This window comes from Homo sapiens, chromosome X, assembly GCF_000001405.40.
Source record: "Homo sapiens chromosome X, GRCh38.p14 Primary Assembly".
In the NCBI taxonomy this organism is placed as follows: domain Eukaryota; kingdom Metazoa; phylum Chordata; class Mammalia; order Primates; family Hominidae; genus Homo; species Homo sapiens.
In genome coordinates this window covers 136,089,599-136,114,930 of record NC_000023.11, presented here as the reverse complement: position 1 = coordinate 136,114,930, position 25,332 = coordinate 136,089,599, and the positions used below count along the sequence as shown (strand labels likewise).

General features: G+C 42.4%; 1 pseudogene, besides 2 other annotated features; it reads left to right on the top strand.

Annotated features, from left to right (window-relative positions):
• Positions 222-421: a silencer, noted in NCBI's record as "fragment chrX:135196669-135196868 (GRCh37/hg19 assembly coordinates)". NCBI's record gives its function as "represses an EF-1alpha promoter that drives an FKBP-Casp9 reporter gene in an ReSE screen in HepG2 liver carcinoma cells {active_cell/tissue: HepG2}" and the evidence as "EXISTENCE:reporter gene assay evidence [ECO:0000049][PMID:32094911]".
• Positions 16,369-17,568: an enhancer, noted in NCBI's record as "CDK7 strongly-dependent group 2 enhancer chrX:135179522-135180721 (GRCh37/hg19 assembly coordinates)". NCBI's record gives its function as "activates an origin of replication core promoter dependent on BRD2, BRD4, P300/CBP, MED14 and CDK7 cofactors, with strong dependence on CDK7, by STARR-seq in HCT116 cells {active_cell/tissue: HCT116}" and the evidence as "EXISTENCE:reporter gene assay evidence [ECO:0000049][PMID:35650434]".
• On the top strand, positions 16,584-17,432 carry E2F6P4 (E2F transcription factor 6 pseudogene 4; annotated as a pseudogene).

Sequence of the window (25,332 nt, the reverse complement as noted above, 5' to 3'; positions counted from 1 at the left end):
TAGTGGAAATAAGCAGGAGGGGATGGTAAGAGTCCCTGTGGAGGCACCACTATGGAGATTCAATATTCTTCATATGAATAAGATAGCCTTGCCCTTAGAAGGTTTCAGTCTAGTGAAGGAGGCAGAGTAAAAACAAGCAGACAAATAAATAATCTAATTGCGGGTTATGAGGAAAGAAACAAAGGGTGGTCAGAGGAGGCCTCTCCTAGGAGGTGCTATGTCAGCTGAGGCCTCATGGAGAAAGGATTGCCTGAACCCAGAGCTGGAAAAAGAACATTCCAAGCAGAAGGAACAAAGGAATCTAAAGTCTCTACGATGGGGAAAAGCCAGACATTTCCAGAAAGGAGGCGATAGTGGCCTGTGGAACAAGAGAGAGAGTGGAAGGACAGGAGGTTGGAGAGACAGACAACAGTCAGCTTCTTTGGGGTCTTCCAGCCCATGGTGAGCAGTGGAATTCTTATTCCAAGTACACTGAGAAAATGGAAATGTTGCCTACCATCACCTATTGCTTGACCTTCTGTTCCAGAGTGTCTCTTTCTTGCTAGGCAGATGGGTACAGAGTGTCCATGAGAAATAAGTGTCTCAAAGCATAATAAATTAGCTTTGGCCTTATAAATTTCAAAGATATTTAATTGGATATTTACATACAGTCATTATCTGCACACCTATTCTTGGAGATTGTTATGGCCAAGTAACCTAGTAAGTCAAGTGGAGCCTGAGTCCATTCCCCCTTCACTCTCTCTAAAAAGGTTAGCAGCAATGGTGTTTCCAACATGGAGTAGCATTTGTTATGTTCATACTGCCTTCCTGTTAATTAATAAGTAACCGAAGGTAGTGGTTTGGTTGGTTACATACTGCCTCCTTCCAAAGAGGATATGAAGTGGGTTACACCAACCTGTGTAATGTAACAGGATAAAAAATGATCAATAGATAAAATTCATGACCAAGGGAAAATGTAGGAAGGAAAATTAAGTGAAACAAAAAGTAAAATTAAAACAGTATGCTGGAATGCCTTAAGTGAATTACAAACCTGCCTCTGGGCTTCCTGGTGGGCAAAGGAAAGAAGGAAGCAAGATCAAGTTTGTCTTGTATATAAGATAAACCAGTCTGGGTGCGGTGGCGCATGCCTGTAATTCCAGCACTTTGGGAGGCCGAGGCAGGTGGATCACGAGGTTAGGAGACCAAGGCCAGCCTGGGTAACATGGTGAAACCCCCTCTCTACTAAAAATACAAAAAATTAGCCAGGCATGGTGGCACGCACCTGTAGTCCCAGCTACTCAGGAGGCTGAGGCAAGAGAATCGCTTGAACCCAGGAGCGGAGGTTGCAGTGAGCTGAGATTGTGCCGCTGCACTCCAGCCTGGACGACAGAGCAAGACTCCGTCTCAAAATAAATAAATTTAATAAATAAATAAATAATAAAATTTAAAAAAGATAAACCATAGTTTTGCTCAGGATGAGTGCAGCTTTTCCTGGCATAAGAACCTGAGAGAAGTTTCTTTAGTGGGTTCTATTAGATTGGAGACATTGTGCTCAAATGGACCTATGTTTTTTTTCAAAAGCAGCTTTTGTGAAGTATATTTATACACCATCAACACCCATTTTAAATGTACAAGTTCCTGTGTCTTCTTAAGGCCTTCTACATGAGAACACCTCAGAAGGTTCTGTAATTGGAGGGCAGAATTATTATCTTTCCCTCAGATAAAGCAATTCATATGAGTAATCATACTTTCTCCTAGCAAAAAGCTCTACAATTATTAGTATATTCTTTCTCATTGCTAATCTTACAGACTATAGTATTTCCATCTTATAAGATGGAGATCCTAAGACTCAGGAAAGTTGAGCAATTTAGCTGAAGTCAGACAATTTAGCCAAAGCTAAACTTCAAAACTGGAATGTTACACAAGTCATATTCCTATTTCAATTGCTAAATATGGGTTGATTTTCCCTGTTTACAGATTGCCACTGTTGCAATGTTTTCATCTCACTCAATTGAAGTCCAGAAATGTGAAAGAGGTCCAGGAATTCAAACACTCTTAAGGCCCTATTTCAGATTGCTAAACACAGATTAAGTGTAAGTAATACACTCCAATACTAAAAATGAAGAAATAAGATGTTTGCTTTTTTAACTTTTTGGATAAACATATGAAAAATTTATTTTGAGCCTTTAAAAAGTAGGTAGAACATTCCATCACATTGGTTCAAAGATCAGTTTCTCAGAACTTCGCTGGTTGTTGGTTAATGACATATGGCCCAACAGGAATATTAATATATAGATAATAGCTCACAAGCAGAATGTGAAATATTAAGGTATTATTGCAAAAGACTTTGCTACTTTCCAGAAGTATATTAACAGGATAACATGAAGTCCAAAATATTTGTAAATTCATCCCCTTTGTTTATCCAGCATTTTCAAGCTCCTCGTGAAGTATCCTACAGAGCCAAGCAAGGATCTGACCATCCTGGAACCAATTATCTTGGGGCAGAACATGTTTATGATTTCTTCAGACTCCAGCCAGCACAGACCAAGGGCTGGAAAGGGACAGGAAGGCCAAAGGTGCCTGCTTGGATTATCTAAGAACCTAGCACAGTGCTGGAAACATAGTAGGTACTCAGTAATTGGATTTTAACCTGAAATAAATGGGATAGGGAAAGAGTTTTTACATTACTTATTTTTTGTACATTAAAAAAAGACCTTTGTGTTGAATGTAAGTGTAGAGCTTGATGAATTTTTACAACCTGAACACACCTGTATTGCCAGTTACCCATTTCCAGTGGAGGATTTTTAACAAGGGAATGAACAAAAATGGGTAAAATCTGCCCATGGTCCTCGAGGAAGCCATAGTAGAGTAGGGGAGACACACAGCAAATAAAACAATTACATTAAAATCAATGTGCTGAGTGCTCTAATAGAAGTGTGTACATGATACCTAGGGGCATGATGGAGGAAGTGGTTCACTTTACCCTGATTGCTAGTGAAGTCTTCACAGAGGAAGGGGTACTTGAGATGGGTCTTAGAAGAAAAGAGTTTGCCAGATGGAGAAGGATGGAGTTAGAACTTGGCATATGGAAAGAAAAGTGTGGGCAAAGGCAAGTGTGGGAGAGCTGGACAAGGATAGTGTGGCTGGTACACTAGGGGCACGAACATTCCTTCCTTGACCCCACAGCCCTCTCCATCTGATACTTTTTCCTGCTCCCTTCTTAGCCCAACTTCTCCAAAGAATTATCTACTCATACTGCCTCTTCCTCTTCACCTCCCATCCACTCTTCAACCCACTCCAACCCATCTTCCAGACTCTCCACTTTATTGAAGCTCTTGCTTCAATGTTGGCAAGTCCAAGGAACATTCTTCTGTCCTTATTTAGCTTCTCAGTGATATTCTAAAGTCAGTCATTCTCTCATTCTTAGGACAATCTTTTTGGTTAGTTTGTTTCTGTGATATCGCACATCCTCAAGCTTCTCCTGCAGTGTCTTTTACTTCCCTATTTCCTCTACTCATGCAAAGTGTAAATAAGATAATATATGAAAAGTGCTTAGAATAGGTCATGGTAAATAGTAAACATTCAATAAATATTATCTGTTATTATTTCTGGCCTCCTGGCAGCATCTTTTTCATTTTTCCAGTTCTGCTATCAGTTTATTTTTATTTTAAGTTATTTCCCAATCTTTAAATGTTGTTATTCATCAGGGCTCATGTTTTAAATACTATCTATATATTCATGAATCACAAATTTATATCTTTAGCCTTTACTTGTTCACTGACCATTTTTTTTTTTACACAGCAGCCAGAATATTCTTTTAGAAATTAGTAACAGAGCAAGGATGTCCATTCTCATCACTTTTATTCAACATCATACTGGAGGTTCTAGCCAGTGCAATAAAGCAAGAAAAAGAAATAAAAGATATAGAAATTGGAAAAAAAAGAAGTAAAACTTTTTCTTCAAATAACATAATTGTGTATAGAAAAAAGCTAAGGAATCTACAAAAGAAATACTAGAACTAATAAGCAAATTAAGCAAGGTTATGAGATAAAAGGTTGATGTACAAAACGAATTGTATATTGGCAATGAAAAACTGGGAAAAGAAAATTTGAAACACATTATTATTTATAAAATTAAAAAAATTTCAAACACTCAGAAAAAGTATAATGAGAGCAGTTCAAGATCTCTAGGCTGAAAAATAGAATATATTGCTGAAAGAAATTAAAGAAGGCCTAAATAAATGGAGAGATATATCATGTTGATGGGTTGGAAGAATCAATACTGTTAAGATGCCAAACTCTTAAATTGATCTCTGGATTTCATGCAGTCCCATTTATAATCCCAGTCAATTTCTTTTATAGAAATTGACAAGCTTATTCTAAATTTATTTGAAAATGCAAAAGACCTAAACAAAACAAACTTGAAAAAGAAAAACTTTGGGTGATTCACACTGCCTGTATTCAACACTTACTCTAAAGCTACTGTGTGGTACTGACATAAAGACAGGCAAATAGATTGATGGAACAGGATAGAGAGTCCAGTGATAACCCCATACAGGTACTGCCTGTTAATTTTCAACAAAGGTGCAAAGACAATTTAATGGGGGAAACGATAGTCTGTTCATCAAATGGAGCTGGGAACAGCTAGATATTCTTTTTTTTTTTTTTTTTTTGAGACAGAGTCTCGCTCTGTTGCCCAGACTGGAGTGCAGTGGTGTGATCTCAGCTCACTGCAAGCTCCGCCTCCAGGGTTCAAGCCATTCTCCCGACTCAGCCTCCCGAGTAGCTGGGACTACAGGCACCCACCACCATGCCCAGCTAATTGTGTTTTTAGTAGAGATGGGGTTTCACTGTGTTAGCCAGGATGGTCTCTATCTCCTGACCTCATGATCTGCCCGCCTCGGCCTCCCAAAGTGCTGGGATTACAGGCGTGAGCCACCACGCCTGGCCAACAACTAGATATTCTTTTTCTTTTTCTTTTTTCTTTTCTTTTTCTTTTTTTCTTTTTCTTTTTTTTTTTTTTTTGAGACACACTTTCACTCTTGTTGCCCAGACTGGAGGGCGCAATGGCGTGATCTCAGCTCACTGCAACCTCTGCCTCTCAGGTTCAAGCTATTCTCCTGGCTCAGCCTCCCAAGTAGCTGAGATTACAGGTGCCTGCCAGCATGCCTGGCTAATTTTTTTTGTATTTTTAGTAGAGACGGGGTTTCACCATGTTGTCCAAGCTGGTCTCGAACTCCTGACCTCAGGGGATCCACCTGCCTCAGCCTCCCAAAGTGCTAGGATTACAGGCGTGAGCCACCACACCTAGCCACAGCTAGATATTCTTATGTAAGAAAAAGGAACTTTGACCCCCTATCTCACCACTTAATTAAAAATTACTTTTAGATGCATCATATGCCTAAAGGCAAAAGCTGAAACTCTAAAGCTTCTAAAATAATACATAGGCAATTATCTTCATGACATGGGATAGGCAATGGTTTCTTAGATAAGACCCAGAAAGCACTAACCTTAAAAGAAAAAATTGATAAATGAAACAATTAAAATTTAACATTTCTCCTCATCAAATGACACCATTAAGAAAATGAATAGTCCAGTCATTGTGGAAAACAGTGTAGCAATTCTTCAAAGAGCTAAAAATAGACCCACCATTCCACTGAGCAATCCCATTCCTGGGTAAATATCCAAAGGAATATAAATCATCCTACCATAAAGACACATGCACATGAATGTTCATTGCAGCACTATTCACAATAGCAAAGACATGGAATCAACCTGAGTGCCCATCAATGGTAGATTGGCTAAAGAAAATGTGGTACATATAAGTCATGGAATATTATGCAGCCATAAAAAAGAATGAGATCACGTACTTTGCAGGAACATGTAAGGAGTGGGAGGCCATTATCCTTAGCAAACTAATGCAGGAACAGAAAATCAAATATTGCATATTCTCACTTTAAGTGGGAGCTAAATTATGAGAACACATGGACACATAGAGGGGAACAACACACACTGGGGTCTACTTGAGGGTGGAGGCTGGGAGGAGGGAGAGGATCAGAAAAAATAACTAATGGGTACTAGGCTTAGTACCTGGATGATGAAACAATCTATATAACAAACCGTTGTCACACGAGTTTACCTATATAACAAACCTGTACAAATACACATGAACCTAAAACAAAAGTTAAAAAAAAAAGAAAAAGAAAAAAGAAAATGAACAGTCAAGCCACAAACTGGGAAAAAAATATTCACAATACATATAACTGACAAAGAACAAAATACAGAAACTTAATAGAAAAATAGACAAAATACTTGAATAGACACTTTAAAAACGAAGACCTATGAAGGGACAATAAACACATGAAAAGCTCATCAGCATTATTAATTATCAGGTAAATGCAAACTAAAACTGCAGTGAAATGCCATTTCATACCCTCTAGAATGGCTAAAATCAAAAAGACTGCCAGCACAAAATATTAGCAAGGATGTGAAGTAATGGGAAACCTCACACATTGCTGATGGTAATGTAAGATGGTGAACCAGGCCGGGCGTGGTGGCTCATGCCTGTAATCCCAGCACTTTGGGAGGCTGAAGCAGGCAGATCACATGAGGCCAGGAGTTCAAGACCAGCCTGGCCAACACGGTGAAACCCCCTCTCTACTAAAAATACAAAAATTAGCCAGGCATGGTGGTGCACACCTGTAATCCCAGCTATTTGGGAGGTTGAGGAATGAGAATTGCTTGAGCCTGGAATGAGCCACCGTGCCTGGCCAGAAGACTTGTTTTATACAACACAGTCACAGGCACTTTTAACAAGAATCTATATGAGTTGTCATGAAAATAAGATTGAAGTTGTTAAGTAATAAAAAGTTAATTATAAAAGTATACATATATATATACATGTATAACTTTCTAAAAAAATAATATATGCTTGGATTAGGTAAAACTACACATACATAACGTTGTTTGTTTATAGGAAGAAGACTGAACTACTGCTATACGCCAAACCGTTGGGAGTTGAAGTGGAACTGCCAAGGAATGGGGCCAGTTTTTCCGTTGTGGTGTTTTTATAATTGTGTAGGGTCAGTTTTAGTTTTTACTGTTTGACTCTGTTACAAAGACACTGTTTCACTCTGTCGCCCAGGCTGTAGTGCAGTGGCGTGATCTCAGCTCACTGCAACCTCTGCCTCCCAGGTTCAAGCGATTCTCCTGCCTCAGCCTCCCGAGTAGCTGGGACTACAGGCTGGAGCCACCACACCCGGCTAATTTTTGTATTTTTTGGTAGAGACGGGGTTTGACCATGTTGACCAGGCTGGTCTCTAACTCCTGACCTCAAGTCATCCGCCCACCTAGGCCTCCCACAGTGCTGGGATTGCATGTGTGAGCTACCCTGCCTGGCCTAACTTGTGGGTTTTCAAACAGGATAAAACCTCAGACCCTCACAGTTCTTAACACATACTTTTGTTACCGGTGGAGGGTGTCCAGGTTCTTGGTGTTTTGAACAAATAATTGGACAAAACGCACAAACAAAGTAAGGAAAGAATGAAGCAACAAAATCAGAGATTTACTGAAAACGAAAGTATACTCCACAGCGTGGGAGCAGGCCCGAGCAGTGGCTCAAGGGCCGGAATACAGAATCTTCTCGGGTGCAAATACCCCTTAGAAGTTTCCCATTGGCCACTTGGTGCTCACCTCATTTAAATAAAGTGGTGGCTTGCAATCAGAGACTAAAGTGAAATTATAAAGTTGTACTTCTGTGCAAATGAAGACTTGGCTCACAATCAGAGGCTGAAGTACAGTTAGAAAGTTACACTCCTATGCAAACGCCTGATTGGTTGCAAACAGCGACCAATCAGAGATACATTCAATTTCCCATCTGCCGTGCAGAAAAGGTAGGGGTTTGCAAAGGGAGTAGTCTGTGGTACTTTTGTTACTTAGGTGTAGAAAGTTATACTTTTCCTTTCTTTTTTTTAGGACCTCTTCAAGAACTAGAAACCACTGCTCAACGAAATAAAAGAGGACACAAACAAATGGAAGAACATTCCATGCTCACGGATAGGAAGAATCAATATCGTGAAAATGGCCATACCGCCCAAGGTATACTTTTCCTTTCTATTTAGTACTAAGAAGTCAGCGTGAAATGGCCTTAGGTTCCTTGCCCCCAGACCCTATTCTCCTGGCTCACTTTCAAATGTTTGAGCCAAAAAATGTGTGTGCTTATGTATGTATACTAAATTGTAAAATCAAGAGAACACAGATAAAAAAAAAAGTAGAATTATCCGACACGGTTTTATTTTACATTTTATTGATTTTGAGCTGCATAAGGAGCCATCTACTGGGTCTCCTGAAAAGAAACCAATTTTTTGTTTCCAGACAGCTCCAGACCCAAAGAGAAGGTCAGCTTCTCAGCTGTGGTGGGAACCCAACCCAGGAGAGTGCAGTCAGTTGGAACTCTAGTTCACCAAAAAACAGGGAAGTCAGCAAATGGAGAAATAAGGCAATACAGCTGAGGCTAAATCCTGTTGATCCTCTCTTAATAACTCTCCCATATCTATAGCCTCCTCTCCATCCCCATTTAGTCTTGGCCAATGACTCTCTAACTTTAATATGGGCACCAGTCACCTGGGGATCTTGTTATAATGCAGATTCAGACTTGGCAGGTGTGCAGTGAGACCTGAAATTCTGCTTATTTAACATGATCCCAGGTGATGCACTTTGAATAGCCACTGCTGCAACATAGCTTATGTTGATGTAGATATTTGCAGAATATTTGCAGAATGTGGTCTGCAAGTATGATCTCCTTGCCTCCAAGCTTGATCTTATTTTCAATTGATTATTCACAGAGAAGATAGAAATGATTGATTTAAGGTCAGGCACGATGGCTCAAACCTGTAATCCCAACACTTTGGGAGGCCCAGGCAGGTGGATCACTTGAGGTCAGGAGTTCTAGACCAAGCTGGCCAACATGGTGAAACTCCATCTCTGCTAAAAATACAGAAAAAAAAAAAAAGGAAACATTAGCCCAGTGTGGTCGCTTGCACCTGTAGTCCAAGCTACTTGGGAGGATGAGGCAGGAGAATCACTTTTACCTGAGAAGTGGAGGTTGCAGTGAGCCGAGATCGCACCACTGCACTCCAGCCTGGGCGACGGAGTGAGACTTCATCTCAAAAAAAAAAAATTAAAATTAAATAAAGATTGATTTAGGAGCTAATCCTGAATCTGTAACATTTCCCTCACCCCTCTCCACTTAAAGTCCTTCAGTGGCTCCCACTGTTGCTGGAATACAATCCAGACCCCTTACTGTGGCCCCAAAGGCCTCTATGCCCAGGAACCTCCAAAGGCCACTCTGCTCTCACAGCCCTATGTCCTTGCAAGTCTTGTTCTCTCTCCTTCCACTGGGCCTTCTCCCCTCCATCTGCCTGGTGAAGAGTCAGGCCTTCAATACTCTCTGGTAAGCCTTCTCTTTCCCTCCAGGGCTCCTCCTCCCTTCAAAGAAGGAGGACCCCCTTCCCTGTGTGTTCCTACTCCACCCTGAATATAGCTCTACCACCAATTTAATCAAACTGATTTTCAATTGTTTACATGGTTATCCCCTAGTACTAAATCATGAGCTCCTTGAGAGCACAGATTTCCTCCCCTCCTTTCTTCCTCCCTCCCTCCTCTTTCTTCCCTCCCTCCTCTTTCTTCCCTCCCTCTCTCCTTCCCTCTTCTTCCTCCTTCTCTCCCTCTCTCTTCTTCCTTTTCTTCCTTCCTTCCTCCCTTCCTTCCTTCTTTCCTTTCTTCCTTTCTCTCTCCCTTCCTTCCTCCCCTCCCTCCTCCTCTCTCTCCTCTTCCTTCCTCACTCCATCCCTCCCCTTCCTCCTTTTCCTTGCCTTTCCTCCTTCTCCTCCTCCTTTCCCTTCCTTCCTGCCTCGTTCTTTCCCTCCCTCCCTCCATCTTTCTTTTTTTCCTTTCTGTCACTCTGAACTATCTAAAATTTCTGAAGCTTCTGGCATATAGGACTTTGCAGCACTGTTTTAATCTCCCTGGAATACCCTTTCCTCACTTTCTAGGCCTGAAAACTCCCACTCATTCTGCAGGATTCAACTCAGATGTGACTTGCTCTAAGAAATTTTCATTAATAATTCTTACCCCCACTCCACCCCCAAGTCAGACTAGGGATTCCCACAACACCCGGTATAAAGCTCTCCTAGCACTGATCACACTGCTTTGCAAAGGAATGTTTACTTCTCTACTCATCTGGTCTGTCCATTCATTTGTTCACTCAGGAAATACATCTCAAACACCTACAGTTCTAGGCATCAGGGATACAGCAGTTCACAAAAGAGATAAAAAGCCCTGCTCTCATGGAGCTTACGTTCTAATGAAGGGGAGACATGTAATACACAGATACATATGTCAGGTGGCGATGATGCCTTTACATAAAAACTAAAGCAGATCAAGGCCATAGAGACGGATGTGGAGTTATGCCATTTAGGATGGTGAGGAAAGGCCTCTTGTCTAAGATGGTACATTTGGACAGAGACCTGAGTGAAGTAAGGAAGCAAGCCATGAAGATATCTGAGAATATTCTAGACAGGGAACAGCAAGTGTGAAGGCCATGAAAATGGAGTGTGTGGGACATTTTTGAGGACCAGCATGGAAGCCAGAAAGGCTGGAACTATGTGAGCCAGTGGGAAAGCGGTGAGAGGCATTGCTGAGCCTTGGAGGAGGACATAAAGGAGATCACAGGGCCAAGCACAGTGGCTCACACCTATCTACAATCCCAACACTTTGGGAGGCCCAGGCAGGTGGATCACTTGAGCCCAGCAGTTCGAGACCTGCCTGGGCAACATGGCAAAACCCCACCTCTACCAAAAATACAAAAATTAGCCGGGTGTGGAGGCACACTCCTGTGGTCCCAGCTACTCAGGAGGTAGAAGTGGGAGAACCACCTGAGCCCGGGAGCTCACGGCTACAGTGAGCCAAGATTCCACCACTGTACTCCAGCCTGGGTGATAGAGTGAGACTGAAAAAAAAAATCAGGTGATTTTGCTTCTGTTCAACACCCACCCACCATATAATAAAGTGTAGTGAATGTCAAGAGCTGTCTTTTATTGCACTCCTTCCATGGGCCCATTATCTCTAATGCTTACAATAACTCTGTAAGTGAGCTGTTGCTAACCCAACTGTACACATGAAGCAACTGAGGCTAAATGATTTGCCAAAGGACATTCAGCCAGTAGGTGGTACAGGAGAGACTGGAACCTGGATGTGACTACAAAGCCTGTGCCATTTCTGCTATATTTCATCATGTATTCCTGTAATTAAAAACAGTATTGAAAAATTCCAGACTTTTAGGGAAGGAGGATAAAATGAGACATTCTCATAACTTGAATGGTAAAACACACACACACACACACACACACACACACACACACACACACAAATAAAAAAGGTCAGTGGGCTCGGTGGCTCATACCTGTAATCCCAGCGCTCCGAGAAGCTGAGGTGGGTGGATTGCTTGAGCCCTGGAATTGGAAACCAGCCTGGGCAACATGGCAAAACCCTGTTTAAACACACACACACACACACACACACACACACACAATAATAATACAAAATTATCTGGGCATGGCGGTGCACACCTGTAGTCCCAGCTACTTGGGAGGCTGAGGTGGGAGGATCACTTAAGCCCAGGAGTCAGAGGTTGCAGTGAGCAGAGATTGTGCCACTGCACTCCAGCCTGGGCGACAGGGTGAGAACCTGTCTAAAAAAAAAATTACAAAAATGACCAGGGCTTGGTGGTGTGTGCCTGTACTCCCAGCCACTTGGGAGGCTGAGGCAGGAGAATCACTTGAACCCAGAGTAGGAGGCCGCAATAAGCCGAGATTGGGGCACTGCACTCCAACCTGGACGACAGAGTGAGACCCCATCTCAGAAAAAGAAAAAATAAAATAATGACATCAGTTTAAAAGTTATAAGTACAAGAAATATCAAGGACTTCTGCAAACACACATTCTTTCTTGGTGTTTTTTGTTTGTTTGTTTGTTTTTTGGCAGGGTCTCACTCTGTCGCCCAGGCTGAAGTGCAATGGCACAATCTCGGCTCACTGCAACCTCCACCTCCCAGGCTCAAATGATTCCTCTCGTGCCTCAGCCTCCCGGGGACCACAGGGATGTGCCATCACGCCTGGTTATTTATTTATTTTTTATTTTTTGGTAGCAACAGAGTTTCACCATGTTGCCCAGGCTGGTCTTCAACTTCTGAACTCAAACAATCCACCCGCCTCTGCCTCCCAAAGTGCTGGGATTACAGGCATGAGCCACTGTGCCCGGCCAGAAATAAGAAAATTTGCCTTAAAGTCTGTTAAAGAAGCTTATTGGTAGAGATAGATATAGATATAGACATAGATATAGATATAGATATAGATATAGATATAGATATAGAGATAGAGATAGAGATAGAGATAGAGATAGAGACAGATATCTATCTCCTGCTGGTTCTGTTTCTCTGAAGAACTCTGACTAATACATTATTTATACTACAAGTTGAGTAGCCCTTATCTAAAATCCTTGGGACAAGAAGTGTTTCAGATTTTGGATTTTTTAGATTTCTGGATATTTGCAGGTACTTTAACCAGCTGAGCATCCCTAATTTGAAAAGCCTACCTCCAAAATGCTCCAATGAGAGCATCCTTTGAGCATCATGTTGGCACTCAAAAAGTTTTAGATTTTGGAATATTTCAGATTTGCAATTTTCAGATTAGGAACACTCAACCTGTATTTGATTTCCACAACTATGTGAGCATAGCAGAGCAGGATATTGCATAGAGGAGCAAACAAAATCAGAAATCCAAGAAGTTAGCTGATTTAACTGAGATCACTCAGTTTTGTGTGTCAGATGCAGGCCTAGAACTCAGGCCTTTCTGATTCTTCATCCAGTACTCTCTCACTCTAGTAGGCTAGATCCCCTTGGGCAGATGTAGTTTCATTTGTAATGAATGTAATTAGGGCTGAACATCTCTTCAAGAAGCTGTGACCAGGGCAGTGGTCAAAACCTAAAATGACTGTAGGAGCTGGCAGTGAACTAAATGAGTGAGACCGCCTTGAGGTGAAGCAGAGAGAGAGAGATGGAGCCTGTGCTGATCTAGTGAGTACATATCTTGCCTAAAGGTGTTTAAAATAAAAAATTGTTTTATACTAAGCTATCCAAACAAAACATGTCTACTGGCCTCACTCAGACCACAGATCACCTGTGTATGTCCTCTGATACTCTAACCATCTCAATGACAGATGATAAAATTGAAATTCAGAGAAGTCAAGTAATTAATTCAAGCTCAAACAGCTTGTTAATGACAGAGCTGAGAAACTGATCTCTGCTCTCTCCCTGCCCAGTCCTCTTCCCATCCTCATCCACAGGCTGCAATTGCCCCTATGGTGCCCCGATAGGACTGCCACCCAGGACTGTGGCCCATAATCCCAGCTTTTACTATGCCTATGGCTCCAAACTCCCTTGTTCCTCATAATAATTCCCCAGTCCTTCTCTCAGTTCCCTCTGGACATTGTTTCATGTTTGGCCTAATCTGAAGAAAGAATTCATATTAAGGTAGCAATGAGAGGCGATGGCTTAATGTAAATTAGTATAACCAGTTATATCAGTTAATTATGTCAGTTAATTATGTCAACTCAAAGATTAAATCCCTTTATTGCAAAGTCATTAGGGAAGTCATTAGAGAGCATTATGACTAAGAGTTTGGGATTTGTAGTTATAGAGACCTGGTTTCAAATCCTGGTTGTGTGATTTGGGAAAGTTACTTATCCTCTCTATGCCTTAGTTTCATTCTCTGAAAATGCGTATAATACTAGCTTCTACCTTATAGCAATGGCCTGAGGATTAGAGAGAATGTATGCAGTTATTAGCACAGTAACTAGCATATAGTAATTAATCATAAATGATGGATTTTGAAAAAATCTTAGACAATGAAAAGGATGCATCTCATTGTGAGCATTACTTGGCAGTCTGGACTGCTTCTGTGCTTTCGGTCTGGCTGGGGTTTAGAGAAGAGAAAGGTGAGGAGGGAGGAAAAAAATCCTCTAGGTCTTCAATATTTTCTCCCAATTCGTAGGTTGCCTCTTCACTCTGTTAATGTTTCCTTTGCTGTGCAGAAGCTTTTTGGTTTGATGCAATCTCTCTCTCTCCCTCTCTCTCTCGACAGGGTTTCACTCCTGTCACCCAGGCTGGAGTGTGGTGGCACACTCTAGGCTCACTACAACCTCTGCCTCCCAGGCTCAAGCAATCCTGCCTCAGCCTCCTGAGTAGCTGGGACTACAGGCACACACCGCCACACCCAGCAAATTTTTGTATTTTTAGTAGAGACGGGGTTTCACCACATTGGCCAGGCTGGTCTGGAACTCCTGCCTCAAGTGATCCACCCCACTCAGCCTCCCAAAGTTCTGGGATTACAGGTGTGAGCCACCCTGGCCTCGTTATTATTATTATTATTATTATTATTATTATTATTATTATTAAGACAGAGTTTCACTTTTTTGCCCAGGCTGGAGCGCAGTGGCACGATCACAGCTCACTGCAGCTTCAACCTCCCAGGCTCAAGCGATCCTCCTACCTCAGCCTCCTGAGTAGCTGGGACTACAGGTGTGCGCCACCATGCCCGGTTAATTTTTGTATTTTTTGTAGAGACGGGGTTTCACTGTGTTGCCCAGGGTGGTCTGGAATTCCTGGGCTCAAGCTATCCTTCCACCTCTGCTTCATAAAGGATTGGGCTTACAGGAGTGATCCACCACGACTAGCCTCCATGCAATCTCATTTATCTATTTTTGTTTTTGTTGCCTGAACTTTTGTGGTCAAATACAAAAAATCATTGCCCAGACCCATAAAATAAAAGTATTGAAAGTGTATAAAATTATGGCTGGGTGCGGTGGCTCATGCCTATAATCCCAGCACTTTGGGAGGCGAGGATGGGTGTATCACTTGAGGCCAGGAGTTTGAGACCAGCCTGGCCAACATGGTGAAACCTTGTCTCTAGGGAAAAAAAAAAAAAAAAAGAGCCAGGCCCGGTGGCGCGCCGGTGCCTGTAATCCCAACTACTTGGGAGGCTGAGGCAGGAGAATAGCTTGAATCTGGGAGGCAAAGGCTGCAGTGACTTGAGATCGTGCCACTGCACTCCAGCCTGGGTGACAGAGCAAGACTCCGTCTCAAAACAAGAAAGAGAAGAAAGAGAGAGAGAAAGAAGAAAGAAAGAGAGAGAGAGAAAGAAAGAAAGAAGGAAGGAAGGAAGGAAGGAAGGAAGGAAGGAAGGAAGGAAGGAAGGAAGGAAGGAAGGAAGAAACTGAATGTGAAAGCTTGGAAGAGGTGGTTAAATATCTTGCATGACAGCATCAGTTTTCTAAAAGGCCCAGAAAGAAATCTGGCTTCCCTGTCCTATTAAGATGAAAGAGCTGGCCAGGCGCAGTGGCTCTCGACTGTAATCCCAGCACTTTGGGAGACTGAGGTGGGTGGATAACTTGAGGTCAGGAGTTCGAGACCAGCCTGGCCAACATGGTGAAACCCTGTCTCTACTAAAAATACAAAAATTAGCCAGGCGTGGTGGTGTGCACCTGTAATCACAGCTACTTGGGAGGTTGAGGCAGGAGAATTGCTTGAACCCGGGAGGAGGAGGTTGCAGGGAGCCGAAATCACGCCACTGCACTTCAGCCTAGGTGACAGAGGGAGACTCCATTAAAAAAAAAACAACTAGGCCGGGCGCGGTGGCTCACGCCTATAATCCCAGCACTTTGGGAGGCCGTGGCGGGTGGATCACGAGGTCAGGAGTTCAAGACCAGCCTGGCTAAGATGGTGAAAACCTGTCTCTACTAAAAAAAAAAAAAAAAAAAAAAAAAAAAAAAAAAAAAAATCCAGGCATGGTGGTGAGTGCCTGTAATCCCAGCTACTCGGGAGGCTGAGGCAAGGAATTGCTTGAACCCGGGAGGCAGATGTTGCAGCGAGCCGAGATTGTGCCACTGCACTCCAGCCTGGGTGACAGAGCGAGACTGTCAATAAATAAATACATAAATAAAGTGTATAAAACTATATACATACGGCCATGCATCGCATTAATGACCGTTCATTTAACCACGGACTTTATATATGATGGTGGTCCCATAGACTATAACGGTGCAGAAAACTTCCTATCACCTAGTGTCGTGGTAGCACAATGAATTACGGACGTGTTTGTCGTGATGCTGCTGCAAACGAAGCTACTGCGTTGCTTGTGGTATAAAAGTATAACAAATGCATTTCTGTGCAGTACATAATTGGTAACAATTGTCAGCACTCCACATGTAGGCAGACGGTTGGGCGAGACCACCGGAGAGCCGCTCGTGTCGCCCTGCCCACTTCCTGTCTGCATCCGGAGCTCCCGGGCTGGGCCGTGGCGCGTGGGGCTGTGGCGCGTTTGCTGGCGGACCAGAAGGCCTAGTCGAACTGCACCTCCGAGCAGGCCTTGGACCCGCTTCGTGCTGAGTATTCAGAAGTTGGTGAGTTGGGAGCGGTGCTCGAGCTGGAGAAGGCGGGAGAGCTTGCGGGGTGTGGGGTGTGAGGGCCGCAGGCCGTCCTGCTGAGCAGCCATGAGTCAGCAGCAGCCTGCAGGAAAGTTGACTGACCTGCCCATTAACCCGGCGGAGGAGACGGTTCGCCGCCGAGACGCCACCAATGCGGAGTGCCCACTGCCATCAACAATAAGGATTAATTCCAAAGATGATGTACAACCTGAGTCTAAAAGAGAAACTGTAAATATGAAACCTCATAATAAGACATCACTGGCTTGTACAACGCGAAAATTTATAGATATTCTCAAATCGGCTCCTGGAGGTGTTCTTAGCTTAAGCCAGGTAGCAGCAAAACTGGCAGTGCACAGACGAAGAATATATGACATCATCAGTGTCTTACAAGGAGTCAAACTAATTGAAAAAACATCTAAGAACCATATTCAGTGGATTGGACCTGATTTTAATTCTGGAGCAACACCCGAAGAAAAGAAGCTAGAGGAGGAAGTTTCCAAATTATCAGCAACAGAAGATGCCTTGGATAAGTTAATTGAAGATTGTTCTCAGCAACTGTGTGAGTTAACAAATGACAAAGAATTGGGAAAACTAGCATATGTGACGCTTGAAGACATTCACAACTTGGAACGCTTCCAGGAACAGACCGTTTTTGTCGCTAAATTGCCAGTAGAAATCACACTGGAAATTCCAATTTCTGAAGACTCTTTCTCATTACGTTTAAGTAACAACGACGGACCTGTTGACGCCTATTTGTGTCTATCGAAGAAGGATTACGAAGCTAACTACACGTCTGAGAGTGCCGGGACTTCATCTGAGAGCACTGGGACTTCATCTGAGAGCAGACATCCAGAACACCCTGAAGAAGAAGAAAATCCTCAGCAAGGTGAAGAATTGCTTGACATGAGCAACTGATAACATTTGAGAATTCAGGTATTGTTGAGGTTTTGGGGGAACATCCTCTGCGGAGAATTACACATCACATTTGATTCTTACAGCAATGGACATGGAGTGCTCTTGTTTTCGGTTAGTAGCAGCATTACCACCAGTACTATTTTTGAGTAGTTCACGACTTAGATTCCTGAATAATTCTGGTTTCCACATTTGAAAACAACTCCATGTATAATTATGCACTGCTTTTTGTCATCGGAATAGACATCTTGCCTCCTGAAATAGCTTCGTCACAAAGGGTGTCATGAAAATGACAGTCAGGCCTGAAATGGACGGTTGTTTGCAGGCTCTACCCTTTCCTTCAGGGATTATGTCATATATCACAAAAGAAATTGCCTTACACTGGTTCATGTTTGCAGTTACTGTTGTATATTGGATCCAAATGTGATGTCTTTGTATATATCTGTGTAAAGCTTAGATTACTTATCCACTATTTCCAAGTGACACTTTTTGCCCTTGTACAGCCAAAATAGTGTATATATTGGAAAGTGACAAATTATCTAATTTCTTTGGTATCCATCACTTATTAGAATACTCTGGATGAGGGTTAGAGGAGAGTTTTTCCAAACTGCTACATGTAGAAGTATCATAAATGTGCTGTACATTTACATTCATTGATTTAACTGAAGTGTTTTAATATGGTTCTTAATGCTGAAATTGGAGTCAGATACTTCTTGATTTTAAGCTGTCTACTAAATTGCTGTGTCTCAACAGATTGATGGCATGCTCCAAGGCTTTGGGGCCAAGTATAGAAATGCTATCAAATGATAGATTAATTCATTGTGAGACATAAATTCAATTGTGGGGAAAACTGGAAACTGAAGGTTTTTGCAAGCAGATTTTGTAATGTGTTTCTGTATGCAGCCCAGCTCTTCAATCAAAGGGGTTTTACTTACAGTAAGTTCTACCGTGCCCTCTCTCCAGCTCTAGTCCCAGGTTTCCACATACCTAGCTATTTCCACCTCATTGGGTAAGTCATTTACCACTGTGTGCCTCTGTTAGCTCTGTGGTTTACCATTAGACTATGAGCTCCTTGAGGGACTTTGTTGTAATTACTCTTATGTCCCAGCACCTTGCACGGTGCTTGTCCCATAAAAAAATGCTCAATAATTTTTTTTTTTAAGAGATGAGGTCTTGCTCAGTTGCCCAGGCTGGAGTGCAGTGGCAGCCACTAACACCTGGGCTCAAGCAATTCTCCCACCTCAGCCTCCTGGATACCTGGGACTACAGGTGTGCCCCACCACACCCAGTTAATTTTTGTATTTTTTTTTTTCTGTAGAGAAGAGGACTCGCTGTGTTGCCCAGGCTGTTCTCAAACTCCTGGTTTCAAGCAGTCCTCCCACTTCAGCCTCCCAAAGTGCTGGGATTACAGGCACGAGCCACTGCACCTAACTTAAATGTTTGAACAAAAACAAGATAGTAAATGACTGTGTTACTGGTTTATATATTTACTATGCTATACTTTTTAGCATTACTTTAGAGTATACTCCTTCTACTTATATAGAAAAAAGTTAATTGTAAAACAACCTCAGGCAGTTCCTGCAGGACATATTCCAGAAGAAAGCATTATTATCACAGGAGATGACAGCTTCATGTTTATTGCACCTGAAGATCTTCCAGTGGGGAACAAGATGTGGTGGTGGAAGACTGTGATATAGATGATCCTGACTGTGTATGCCTGATCTAATGTGTGTGTTTGTGTCTTAGTTTTAGCAAAAATGTTTAAAAGGTTAAAAAATATTGTTTTAATGGAGAAAAGCTTATAGAATAAGGATATAAAGAAAAATGTATTTTTGTACATCTGTACAACGTTCGTATTTTAAGATGTGTTATGAATAAAGTTTATAAAATGAAAATGTTACAGTATGCTAAGGTTAATTAATTAATTAATTTTTGAGACAGGGTCTTGTTCTGTCACCCAGACTGGAGTGCAGAGGTGCCATCATGCCTCACTGCCGCCTCGACCTCCTGGGCTCAAGTGATTCTTCCACCTCCGCCTCCCGAGTAGCTGGGACTTACAGGCACATGCCTGTAGCTAATATTTGTATTTTTTGTATAGGTGGGGTTTTGCCATGTTGCCCAGGCCAGTCTTGAACTCCTGAGCTCAAGCAATCCACCCACCTCAGCTTCTCAAAGTGCTGGGATTACAGGCGTGAGCCACAATTTATTATTGAAGAAAGAACTTTTTTGTTTGTTTGTTTTTTTACAAATTTACCATAGCCCAAGTATACAGTGTTTATAAAGTCTGCAGTAGTGTACAGTGATGTCCTAGACCTTCACATTCACTCACCACCCACTCACTGACTCACCCAGAGCAACTTCCAGTCCCGGATGTTCCATTTATGGTAAATGCTCTATACAGGTGTATTAATACTTTTATTTTATCATTTGTACCATATTTTTACTGTACATTTTCTATATTTAGATATGTTTAAATACACAAATATTTACCGTATGTTCCAATTGCCTACAGTATTCAGTACAATAACATACTGTACAGGTTTTTAGCCTGGGAGGAATAGGCGATACCGAATAGCCTAGGTGCGTAGTACACTTACTTGTGTAAGTACACTCTATGATGTTCACACAATGACAACATTGCCTAATGGTGCATTTCTCAGAGCATATCCCTGTAACCACACAATGAGTTCATTTTTCTCATTGCCCAGATAGAGCCAATTTATCAAGACGGGGAATTGTAATAGAGAAAGAGTTTAAGTCACACAGAGCCAACTGAACAGGAGACCAGAGTTTTATTATTACTCAAATCAGCCTCCCACAAAATTCAAAGGCTAGAATTTTTTGAGGATAGTTTGGCAGGCTGAGGAATGGGTGGTGCTTATTGGTTGAGGATGCAATCATAGGAGTGTGGAAAATGGCCCTCGTATGTGCTGAGTTCACTTTTGGGTTGGGTCACAGGACCACTTGGTGGGTCTGGGTGGAGCCATCGGTTGTCAGAAATGCAAAAACCTGAGAAAGCATCTCAAAAGGACAATCTTGGGTTCTAGGTTAGTGATGTTATCTGTAGGAGTAATTGGGAGGTTATAAATCTTGTCATCTCAGGAAAAATGGGTGGTAATCATTTATATCTACACTTCAGCAGAATTCAGGCTCCTCTCATCCTCCTAACCTGGTGGTCTTTCACTAGCTTTACAAAGGCAGTTTAGTTTTGGGGAAAGGATTATTACCATTTAAAGTATATATACTAAATTTTGGCTGGGCGCAGTGGCTCATGCCTGTAATCCCAGCACTTTGGGAGACCAAGGTGGGCAGATCACAAGGTCAAGAGATCGAGACCATCCTGGCCAACATGGTGAAACCCTGTCTCTACTAAAAGTACAAAAATTAGCTGGGCGTGGTGGCGCATGCCTGTAGTCCCAGCTACTCAGGAAGCTGAGGCAGGAGAATCACTTGAACCCAGGAGGCGGAGGTTGCAGTGAGCCGAGATTGCGCCACTGCACTCCACCCTGGGCAACAAAGCGAGACTCCGTCTCTAAATAAATAAATAAATAAATACTAAATTTCTCCCAAAGTTAACTTGGTCCAAACCCAGGGATGACTAAGGGCAGTTTAGAGGTTAAAGGAAAATGGGGGTTGGTTAAATCAGATCTCTTTCACTGTCATAATCTTCTCACTGTTATAATTTTTGCAAAGGTGGTTTCATCCCCATCTTTACATGGCACATGACTGCATATATGTGTGTGTGTGTAAATCCCCTAAGTCAAATGGTGTTCCCATACATTAATGTATATAGACACCGTCACCAGATTATTTTTATGTAAACAAGAGCTTTTTTTAATATACTTTAAGTGTAAATGGGGTTACTGGCAGTGCTATTCTGTGGTGGACCAGGAATAAAAATCACAGAAGCAGAATAATCACGGAATAGACAAATTAGAGCCAGTATGTAGAATTGGGAGTATTGGCCAAGAAACTGTGAAAGGCCAGACATAGACTAGGAATAAAGCACAAAAAGTGAAAGAAGGTTTAGTAAGCAGGGTAAACTACTTTGTTTGTTAAGCTCAACATTTCTTATCAGTAACTGGAATAAAGACTGGAAATCAGGTCATGCACGGTGGCTCACGCCTGTAATCCCAGCACTTTGGGAGCCCGAGGTGGGCAGATCACTTGAGGCTAAGAGTTCGAGACCAGCCTGGCCAAAATGGCGAAGCCCATCTCTACTAAACACACACACACACACACACACACACAAAAGAACCGGGCTTGGTGGTGCACGCCTGTAATCACAGCTATTCAGGAGGCTGAGGCACGAGAATTCCTTGAACCTGGGAGGCGGAGGTTGAAGTGAGTCCAGATTGTGCCACTGCACTCCAGCCTGGACAACAGAGTGAGACTCCATCTCAAAAAAAATAAACAAAAAAGAAACTGAATGTGGAAGTGACATAAAGCTTGGAAGAGGTGGTTAAATACCTTGCATGACAGCATCAGTTTTCAAAAAGGCCCAGAAAGAAATCTGACTTCCCGGTCCTATCAAGATGAAAGAGCCAGCCAAGCATGGTGGCTTACGCCTGTAATCGTAGCACTTTGGGAGGCCGAGGTGGGTGGATCACTTAAGGTCAGGAGTTCGAGACCAGCCTAGCCAACATGATGAAACCCCGTCTCTACTAAAAATACAAAAGAATAAATAAGCCAGGCATGGTGGCGCGTGCCTGTAGTCCCAGCTACTCAGGAGGCTGAGGCAGGAGAATCACCTGAACCTGGGAGATGGAAGTTGGAGTGAGCCGAGATCACACCACTGCACTCCAGCCTGGGTGACAGAGCCAGACCCTGTCTCTAAATAAATAAATAAATAATTTAAAATACTATTATATTAAATGCACAACTATACTGTAAAATAAAATTCAAATGAGGCAACATGACTGTTGTTGTGAAGGGCTGTTCACGGCCAGAAAATAAACATTCAATCTTACAGCGAATTTCCTCATTTATACACTGAAATACCTCACACTTTTCAAAGGAAATGTATTCAAAAGACTTGGTGCAGAATTGAATAAATTGAACCTCAACACTTAATTGTTTCAGGACATGAAATCCAAAACAACCTTCTGTAATGGCCAGTGATTGGCACTTGTGAGCATTTCTTATTTTATTTTATTTTTATTTTTTGAGACACAGTCTTGCTCTGTCGCCCAGGCTGGAGTGCAGTGGCACAAGCTCGGCTCACTGCAACCTCCACCTCCCAGGTTCAAGCAATTCTCCTGCCTCAGTGTCCCAAGTAGCTGAGACTACAGGTGCGCACCACCACACCCGGCTAACTTTTTGTATTTTTAGTAGAGATGGGGTTTCACCATGTTGGCCAGGCTGGTCTTGGACTCCTGACCTCAGATGATTCACCACCTGGGCCTCTCAAAAGTGCTGTGATTACAGGCATGAGCCACCATGCCAGGCCACTTGTGAGCATTTAGTGTCCTAAAACAAATTCTCAGACAGATTACAAATGTGTACATTTTTACACTGAAAATACCACAAAAGGGGCCAGGCACAGTGGCTCACACTTGGAATCCCAGCACTTTGGTACGCCGAGGCGGGTTGATCACCTGAGGCCAGAAGTTCCAGACCAGCCTGGCCAATAAGGTGAATGGTGAAACTCCATCTCTACTAAAAATACAAAAAGCAAACAAACAAACAGAACAGCTGGGCATGCACCTGTAATCCCAGCTACTTGGGAGGCTCAGGCACGAGAATCACTGGAACCTGGGAGGTGGAAGTTGCAGTGAGCTGAGACTGTGTCACTGTCACTACACTCCGGCCTGGGAAACAGAGCGAGACTCCTGTCTCAAAAAAAAAAAAAAAAAAAGAAAAGAAAAAAAAGAAAAGAAAGAAAGAAAGAGCCCCTCTTACAACTAAAAAAGTCTGGGCATAGCAGAACAAACAAACATGAAGACTTTCAAAGATGATGTTGTGGTCTGAAGGTTTATGTCCTACTCAAATTCAAATGTTGAAATCCTAAACCCCCAAGATGATGACATGAAAAGGTGGGGCCTTTAGGAGGTGAATAGGTCATGAGGGTGGAGCCCTCATGAATAGAATTAGTGCCCTTACTAAAGTGGCCTGAAGAAACGTGTTCCCCCATTCTACCATGTGAGGACACAGTGAGAAGGCACTGTCTATGAGCCAGAAAATGGGCCCTCATCAGACTCTAAATCTTCTGGCACCTAGATCTTGGACTTCCTAGCCTCCAGAACTGGGAAAAATAAATTTCTATTGTTTATAAGACACTCTGTCTATGGTGTTTTGTTCTAACAGCTTGAACAAACTAAGACAGGTGGAAAGAAGAAGGTTAACTTGGCCAGGGAACTTGGGGCTTCAGGAATAACATGGTGCTATGTTTTCCGGGTTTCCCTTTGGCCTCTTATATTTTCCAAATAGGGTGCCAGAGAAGCCTGAAAGTTGGAACCACCAACAGGCACAGACCAAAAAAAGCTCTAAGAAAAGCCTGCTCTCCCTTCCCAAGGGACTAGGAAAAGGATGGCCCTAATGGAACAGAAACTCTTAGATAATACCTGCCCTAGTCCAGCTAAACACCAGTCTATGTGACTATCTTTTTACCAACACCACACTGTATTGATTACCACAGCTATCAGGGAAGCCTTAATATTGGGTAGAATGATTCCTCCCACCTTATTGTTCTTCTTCAAAATTGTTTTAAGCTATTCAAGGTTCTTGCCCTTCCATTTCAATTTTAGAATACATCTGTCTATATCCACAAAAACCTTATTGGGATGTTGATAGGAATTATGTTAAATCTGTAGATCATTTGGGGGATAATCGACATCTTTACTATGCTGAGTCTTCCTATCCAAGACTCTTGTGTCTCCCCAGTCTTTTAAGTCATCTTTGATTTTTTTCTTTCTTGGTTTGTTGTTGTTGTTGTTGTTGTTGTTGTTGTTGTTGTTGTTGTTGTTGTTTTGAGATGGAGTTTCGCTCTTGTTGCCCAGGCTGGAGTGCAATGGCGTGATCTCGGCTCACTGCAACCTCCACCTCCTGGGTTCAAGCAATTCTCCTGCCTCAGCCTCCTAAGTAGCTGGGATTACAGGCATGTGCCACCACGCCCAGCTGGTTTTGTATTTTTAGTAGAGATGGGGTTTCACCATGTTGGTCAGGCTGGTCTCAAACTCCTGATCTCAGGTGATCTGCCCACCTTGGCCTCCCAAAGTGCTGGGATTACAGAGGTGAGCCACCTTGCCCGGCCATCTTTGATTTTTTTTCATCAGAATTTTGAAATCTTCTGCACACATATCTTATACATGTTTCGTTAGATTTATACGTAAGGATTTTATTTTCGGGAGCAATTTTAAATGGTATTGTGGTTTGAAATTTTGTTTTCTACATGTGCATTGCTGACATATAGAAATGTGATTAATTTTTATTTTGTATTTCATTTTATTTATTGTTTGATTTTTGAGAGTGGGAAGTGCAGTGATGTGATCTCTGCTCACTGCAACCTCCGCCGCCTCCCGGGTTCAAGCGATTCTCCTGCTTCAGCCTCCTGAGTAGCTGGGATTACAGGCGTGCACTACCACACATGGCTAATTTTTGTATTTTTAGTAGAGAAGGGGTCTCACTATGTTGGCCAGGCTGGTCTCAAATTCCTGACCTCAAGTGATCTGCCTGCCTCGGCCTCCCAAAGTGCTGGGATTACAGGCATGAGCCACTGTGCCTGGCCAGTTTTTGCCATTACTTTTAATGGTAAAAAAGCGATTACTTTTGCACCAACTTAATACATGCTTGCTATCAAGTTGAGGAATTTTCTTTCTATTCCCGTTTTTCTGAGAGGTTTTAAACCATAAATGGGTGTTAAATTTTGTCAAATACATTTACAGTATCAATTGACATAATCATTA